General features: G+C 38.4%; 1 annotated feature.

Moving 5' to 3' along the window:
• Nucleotides 7,236-7,285: an enhancer, noted in NCBI's record as "active region_22930". NCBI's record gives its function as "activates an Ori minimal core promoter by ATAC-STARR-seq in GM12878 lymphoblastoid cells {active_cell/tissue: GM12878}" and the evidence as "EXISTENCE:reporter gene assay evidence [ECO:0000049][PMID:35858748]".

Below are 8,778 nucleotides of genomic sequence, written 5' to 3'. Positions count from 1 at the left end.
AATGAATTATCCATTCGGGAACATCTTGAACTCAGGACTTCTTGTCATGTGAATAATAACATATCCTTGCTGTTTAAGTCACTTCTGCCGGGTTTTCTGTCACATACAGTTGCAAGCATCCTAACTGATTTAATTAATATATTCAGCATCACCATCATAATCATTAACACGTATTGGGTGCTTACAATAGCCACTGTATTGAGCTCGTTATGTGCATCTTCTTATTTAATCCTCACCACAACCCTAGGAGCTACGGGCTTTTATAATTTCTACTTTACAGATGAGGAAACTGCAGTTTAAAGAGGTTAATCTGACCAAGGACTCACAGCAGGGAAGTGGCAGAACAATGATCTGAAGAACAAGGCACTCTATTTCCTTCATCTTTATTAAAACTGCAATAAACCACAAGTTTTATTATCCTTGTTTTGTTGATAAGGAACCTGCAGTTCCTCATCTACAAAAAGAGATTAAGTTCTGCCCCCAGCTAGTAAGTGAAAGATTCAAACTGAGGTTTCTCTGATTCCAAGCCTGTGTTTTTCGCTGTATGTTCAGGCTTCTCACTTGACCGCCTTCCCAGACTCTGAAAAGATTCCTTGTTCTCAGACTTTTCTTTAACTCTTTCTTCTCCATTCCTTACCTGTTTTGTGCCCCAGTCTGCAAGCCCCTTGCTTTCTCCTGAATGACAATAGATATTTATCTCTACTTACTAGTGATCTAATTAAGCTACTACATCTCCTAGGAACTGAGTTCCTTAACTTTGTCAACACGCACCTGTTGCTCGGCAGCATGGACACCTTGCTGAGAGGATGGATACCTCAGGCTTGTGGCATAAAAGACACTTGATAGGGTAAAGCATGTGCTTGGGGTGGATCAGGGGAAGGGGCTGGAGGGAATGCTTTCCTGTATGTGGCTCATGGGCTCTGCAACCCTGCTCCTTGGAACAATTAGAATGGAATACAGAAAGCCCCTAAATTTAGACCAAGGGAGAATCAAAATATTGACAATGTTAAAACTTCAGAGGCAAAAAGAGGAGGAGGACAGAGGGAAAGTTAATCACTACTTTCAGTAATGTCAATTTAGTCCGGAGACTCAAACCCCTTGCTCCTCTTGCCCAGTATGCCTCCTCATCTCCTATAGGCTGATCTCATAGTGAGGCTGTGGCTCTTCCTCTCCCACCATGGTTTTCCGCATTTGAGCCAGACTCCTTGCCTTTATTCATGCAGGCCCGGATTATTACTGCTACTCTCCCTCCCCATCTTTCAGCCCAAATCCTAACCATTCTTGAAGACTCAGTGCAAGTCCTACATTCTCCATGAGGCCTTTTTGAAACACATCTGCTTACATGAGTCTATATTTCCCTGAATTTAGGAGTTGTGATGATTCAGCTCCGGAGTGTGGATGCTTCTGAAAGTTGTTTCCACCACTTTCTCTAAAACCTTTGAGCTTCTGAGCTATTGACATGATTGGTCCTTAGAACTGCTGACCCTTGAGGAGTCCTTACCTATACCCTCAGCAGTCTTTCTAAGACCACCACACACCTGTCTAGTGTTTTGCCTGACCTCCATCCTTTCTGTCTTCTTCTGATAACATCACCTCAATTTTTCTTTGGAGTAGCTAGGGGAAGGCATGTGACCCAAGTTTTAGTCAATAAGCTTATTTATCTCCCAAGTCATCTGATTTGTGCAGAGAGCATATCATTCAGGCCAGTCCAACAGGAATCTCTATGAGATTTATATGGAGCTGTTTAAAAGGAAAGAATGGGTAAGTCATGGTGGCTCATGCCTGTTAATTCCAGCAGTTTGGGAGGCCGAGGTGGGCAGATCACTTGAGGTCAGGAGTTTGAGACCAGCCTGGCCAACATGGTGAAATTCTGTTTCTACAAAAAATACAAAACTTAGCCAGATGTGGTGGCATGCACCTGTAGTCCCAGCTACTCAGGAGGCTGAGGTGGGAGAATTGCTTGAACCCAGGAGGCAAAGGTTGCAGTGAGCCGAGATCACGCCATTGCACTCCAGCCTGGGCGACAGAGAGAGACTCCGTCTCAAAAAAAAAAAAAAAAAAAATACTTAGAAATAAACTTAACCAAGGAGGTGAAAGACCTGTACATGGAAAACTGTAAGACTCTGATGAAAAAATTTGAAGAAGACACAAATAAATGGAAAGATATTCCATGTTCATGGTTAGAAATAATTAATATTGTTAACTACCCCAAGCAATCTACAGATTCATTGGAATGCCTATCAAAATTCCAGTGGCATTTTATACAGAAATAGGGAAAACGATCCTAAAATTTATATGGAACCATGAAAGACTCTGAATGGCCAAAGCAATCTTGAGCAAAAAAGAAATAAAGCCAGAGGCATCACACTACCTGATTTCAAAATCTACTACAAAATTACAGCAATCAAACAGCATGATCCTGCCATAAAAACAGATACATAGAATAGAGAGCCCAGAAATAAATTAATGTATTTACCATTAATTGATCTTTGACAAGGTGTCAATAATATACAATGGGGAAAGGATAGTCTCTTTAGTAAAGGATGTTGGGAAAACTAGATATCTACCTGTGTATAAGAATAAAATATGACATTTATCTCACACTATATAAAAAATCAATTCAAAGTGGATTAAAGACTTAAATGTAAGACCTGAAATTGTAAAACTATTAAAGAAAAATATAGGGAAAAATCTTCTTGACATTGGTCTGGGCAATGATTTTTGGAAGTGATCCCCAAAGCACAGGCAACAAAAGCAAAATAGACAACTGGGATTGCACCAAACTAAAAGGTTTCTGCATAGCACAGGAAACAATCAACAGAGTGAAGAGACAACCTAAAGAAAATGTTTGCAAATCATACGTCTCATAAGAGGTTAGTATCCAAAATATATAAGGAACTAAAAAACTCAATAGAAAGAAAGTAGAATAGAAAGAAAGTAAAATAGAAAGTAATAAAATAAGTAAAATAGAAAGTAATAAAATAAAAGAAAGTAAAATAGAAAGAAACTCCAGGCATGGGGAGTTTCAGGGCTCTCAGTAAAGCAGGAAGGCTAGAGATGAAGTGGGAAGGATATTTGCAGAGAATGAAGCAATTTTCAACCGGAAAATATAAAAATGTAGCAACTGCAGAAACCCAGAACTGATACTTCTCTGCTGCTTATATTGTGTGAACATGTGTGTGTTTGTGTGTGTAGCAAAGTTAAAAAATTGAGTAATCAGATTGTTTAGCAATCGTTCCTCATTAGGCCCCGAGACTTGGTGGTGGTGCCTCGTTGATGGTTTGGGGAGCACTGGCTGGAATGTTTGCCCTGAAGCCCCCTGCCTCACCTTTCCCTCTTGGGGGTGGGAAAGAGGTACAGTGGGCTCCATCCTTGAAACTTGGCCCAGTGACACAGAGCATGGGTCACTTTGCTTTGTGCAGATCGCCAGACCTCAAATAGGAGGGAAAAGGCTCTGATGCTGACAGGTTTCTAAGTGAGGCTGGCTGGAGGCTGGTGTGGCATTGTCTGGGGAAGCTGGAGATCGGGATTATTGGCATTTTCCTTAACCACGTGACACTGGACAAATACTAGCCAACTACCAGGTGACTTGGTACCTTTAGGCTCCACCTCACCCTTTCAGTTGCCTCAGTGGAATCGAAATATAGGTCTTTCTGCTGTAAGACTTTTTCTGTGTTTCCCAAGCCTCCCAAATTCCTTGAAATGTATTTTAGGCCAGTTTTTTTCTTTTCCTCTTGTTAACTCTTTTTTCTTAAAATTACACCAAGAATTCATGCTTAACCATAGAAACATGAGAAAATTCAGAAAAACAACATGAAAGAGTAAGTATAAGCCCATTGTTAACATTTTGTTGTTAACATTTTGTTACATGTACAATCGTGTTAATCATTGTTAACATATTGTTACATGTGCAGTCATGTGTTGATTAACAACGGAGATTTTGTCCTTGTATGAACATCATAGAGTGTACTTACGCAAACCTAGATGGTACAGCCTACTACACACTTAGGCTACATGGTATAGCCTATTGCTCCTAGGCTTCAAACCTATACAGCATGTGACTGCACTGAATACAGTAGGTAATTAGAATACAATGGTGTTTGTCTAAACATATCTAAACATAGAAAGGATAGAGTAAAGATACAGTATAAAAGATTTTAGAAATAGTACACCTATATAGGGCACTTACCATGAATGGAGCTTTCAGAACTGGAAGTTATTCTGAGTGAGTCGGTGGATGAATGGAGTAAATGTGAAAGTTTAGGACATTACTGTATACTATTGTAGACTCTATAAACACTGTACACTTAGGCTATACTAAATTTATCTTAAAATATTTTTATTCAGTAATAAATTAGCCTTAGCTTACTGTAGCTTACTTTATAAACTTCTTAATTTTTTAAACTTTTTGACTCATTTAATAATACAACTTAAAACACAAACATACTATACCACTCTATAATGTGTTCTTTCTTTATATCCTTATTCTATAAGCCATTTTCTATTTAAAACTTTTTTAAATTTTGAAAACTTTTTTGTTAAAAACTAAGACACACACACACACACACACACACACACACACACACACACACTAGCCTAGGCCTGCATGGGGTCAGGATCAACAAAATCACCATCTTCCTCTTCCACATCTTGTTGCTTTGAAGTCTTCAGGGCAGTATCATGCATGGAGCTGTCGTCTCCTGTGATAACAATGCGTTCCTCAGGAATACCTTTTGAAAGATCTGTCTGAGGCTGTTTTACAGTTAACTTAAAAAATATATATAAGTAGGAGTATAACCTAAAATGACAATTAAAAGTATGGTATAGTAAATACATAAACCAGTAACAGTTATTTATTATCATGATCAAGTATTATGTACCATACATAATTGTATGTGCTATGCTTTTATATGACTGGCAGCACAGTAGGTTTACACCAGCATCACTAGAAACACATGAATAATATACTGTGCTATAATGTTAGGATGGTTATGATATCACCAGGTGAGAAATTTTTCTGCTGTATTATAATCTTACCGGACCACAGTCATATATACGGTTCATCGCCATCCATCATGTGGTGCATGACAATTTTTTCTTTTTGTGTTTATTGCTTGTTAGCCTCTTTTTTAAAATTGAGTATATTCTAGACACCTTTTCTTATCAATAAATACTCTTCTATACAATCATTTTAAAGGTTGGCTGCATTGTGTCCTATTGTCTGGATATACGTGATATTTTTTGCCAGTCCTTTTTGCTGGGCAAGAAAGTGGCTTCTGATTTTCCTGTATTCAGTATAATAACCTCCGTGTAGTTACATGTTTGTGTACATCTTTGAATATTTCTCATAGCTTTCTTGAATTGGAATTGAAATTTTGTGGCTTAATATGTTTGTTTTTAAGGTTTTGATGACTTTGTCAAATTGTTCTACAGAAGGTTGTGCTACTCATTTATGAGTGTCCGTTACCTGAGTACCAGTTTTCATGAACTAATGATCATTCCACCCACTTTGGGGCTGGAGCACAACAAATCACACAGACTCACTTTCTTTTTCAATCTATTTACTTCTTTGTAGTTTTGCTTCTCATTATCCTAGATACATTATGAATTTTCTGTGGAATGCAAGTATCTTGGTCCTTCCATACATTTAACCAATGTTTGTTCAGTGCCAACATGTGCTCAGGCTCGGGCTCAGACTAGACTCTACCCTCAATGAGCTTGCAACCTAATGGTATTAATTAGAAGCAGAATTTCACGTAAGTAATAACCAATTCAGGCATAGCAATTTTAATGTTACCTCTTGTTGTGTATTACCTCATTTAACGTATACAGTAACAGTGATATCAGTATTACTACCATCCATTTTACAGATAAGGACATCAAGACTGAAAGATGCTGGTTAAAAGCCTATGCAACTGACACATGGCAAAGTAGCAATTCTAAATCTCATCCTTCTTCCTTATACCCCCAAGATGGCAGGGGGAAAGAAAGTATTCTATTAAGGACATATGGAAGGGCTTCTTACCCAGACTTCTTTGCCTCATTGTCTCTCATCTCTGAAAATCCCTCATGCATTCCTTTATTATCAACATCACTTTTTGAGAAAAACTTCTTTTTAAGAGGTAAATAGATATAAAGTTCCAATAAAAATAATAATGCCTATCGGTTTTCTCCTTATAGGAGGGTCTAGGGTGGAGATGGGGCTGCATCAATGGAAGGGAAAATGAGTGTACATAATGCCACTGAATTGTACACTTAAAATTGTCAAAATGGTCATTTTAATGTTATGTATATTTTATCACAATTTTTTAATTTACCAAAATAAAACATTAAAAATTAAACATCATCATCTGTGGGGAAAAAATAGGAAAGTAGATTTCAGGAGATGAGCTTCACCTACCCCATATTTAACATGCAAGGACCTTCCTTCCATAAGACACTGGGACTGTAATATGGAAATGATTGATATTCTAAGAGATGCTAATTTTTAGAGTTGTTTGGATTTTCAGGTTCAATATTTCATTTTCATTTCAGAAGTATAATTTTAAACATCATAATGTCATTACATATTCCCTACATAGCAGCATATGTAAAACCCAGAAGCAAGACAGTGGCCTCTGACTCTCTGGCATACAGCAGTATCAGTTCCCAAAATAACAAGACATTCTTATTATGATTTAATCATAACTAGGAAAACCCAATATGTAGAGAGGTCATCTTAGAGTTTACAGGTAGAAAAATTTTTGTTTCTTTTAATGAAAAAATGTGTTTCCTTTTATTAGATGACAGTTTTTAAATTAATAGTTTTCCTTTTTTCACCTTGACTACCAGGAGCACAGAGCTAATTTGGGGGATGATTGCAATGATTTGTCTATAGCTTAGGCTTCATAAGTCAGTGTTTTCCTAGTTTTTCAATCCAAGTCTTGGTTCTTCCACTTTTGTTTTAATGGGTCAGTTGGATTTTTGATTTTTGTCATAAACGTCCTCATTTTTTTAAATAGGTAAGGAATAGAATATAAGTAAATGGAAGGACAGAACAACCACTTGACTGGCAGGCTGAAATAGAAGGGCATAGTAAATTCTTTATCAGTCACCCATCCCAGTTTAGATTCCTGCCTGGCTACGCTTTACTTGAGTTAGCTGCTTTTCTACTATCTGTATGCAAGTTATGTGTTCTCTCATCCGTGACTTGCTTGGGCCTGGCTAGCTGAAAGAAGAAGCTGGTCTTCACCTTCTGAAGCTAATATTGGTATAGAGTGCTTAGAGAGCCTCTGTTGGAGGGGAAGTGCTGTGTAACATACCTGCTCTTCACATACTGTCAGAAGAAAAGTCAGTTGAGCCCGAGTGGGCAGGGTTACCAAGGTACTGCTGGTGGAGGGGCCAAGCCCAGGGCTTCAAGATAGTAGCAGAAGCAGGAGGAAGGCCAGCCCTGCCGAGCTTGCCCTGGAGGTTGAGCCTGAGTTGATGCTGTCTTTGTCAGAGATGGCCTTCTAATGATGGTGGGTGTGCCTGTGTACCCCCGACCCCTGAGTGTAATGTAAAGCTTCTTTCTGCTTGTGTTCTAGCCCCTGAGTGTCTGCCTTATGTTTTAGGTTGGTTGTGGGGAAGAGTTTTCTGTGTGAGATTTTAGAGTGTGATGCTTGAGGGGAGTAGGTGCTGGGATAATTGGCTACCCACATGTAGGAGAACGAAACTGGGTCCTCATCTCTCACCTTATACAAAAATCAGCTCAAGGTGGATTAAGGACTTAAACCTAAGATCTGAAACTAAAATTTCTAGAGGATAACATTGGAAAAACCCTTCTAGACATTGGCTTAGGCAAGGATTTCATGACCAAAAACCCAAAAGCAAATGCAATAAAAACAAAGATAAATAGCTGGGACCTAATTAAACTAAATAGCTTTTGCACAGCAAAAGGAACAGTCAGCAGAGTAAACAGACAACCCACAGAGTGGGAGAAAATCTTCACAATCTAGCCATCTGACAAAGGACTAATATCCAGCATCTACAATGAACTCAAATAAGTAAGAAAAAACAATCCCATCAAAAAGTGGGTTAAAGACATGAATAGACAATTCTCAAAAGAAGATATACAAATGGCCAACAAACTTATGAAAAAATTCTCAACATCACTAATGATCAGGGAAATGCAAATCAAAACCACAATGTGATACCACCTTACTCCTGCAAGAATGGCCATAATCAAAAAATCAAAAACAGTAAATGTTGGCATGGATGCAGTGATCAGGGAACAATCCTGCACTGCTGGTGGGAATGTAAACTAGTACAGCCACTATGAAAAACAGTGTGGAGATTCCTTAAAGAACTAAAAGCAGAACTACCATTTGACCCAGAAATCACAGTGCTGGGTATCTACCCATAGGAAAAGAAGTCATTATTCGAAAAAGATACTTGTACACACATGTTTATTGCAGCACAATTCACAATTGCAAAATCGTGGAACTAACCCAAATGCCCATGAATCAATGAGTGGATAAAGAAACTCTGTTATATATGTATATATGTATACACACACACAGACACACACACACACACACGATGGAATACTACTCAGCCATAAAAATGAATGTATTAACAGCATTTGCAATGACCTGGATGAGATTGGAGACTACTATTTAAAGGGAAGTAACTCAGGAATGGAAAACCAAACATTGTATGTTCTCACTGATAAGTGGGAGCTAAGCTATGAGGATGCAAAGGTGTAAGAATGATACAGTGGACTTTACGGACTTCGGGGGAAGAGTGGGAGGGGAGGTG

Source organism: Homo sapiens, chromosome 5 (genome assembly GCF_000001405.40).
Source record: "Homo sapiens chromosome 5, GRCh38.p14 Primary Assembly".
In the NCBI taxonomy this organism is placed as follows: domain Eukaryota; kingdom Metazoa; phylum Chordata; class Mammalia; order Primates; family Hominidae; genus Homo; species Homo sapiens.
This window is presented reverse-complemented; position numbering and strand designations above follow the sequence as displayed.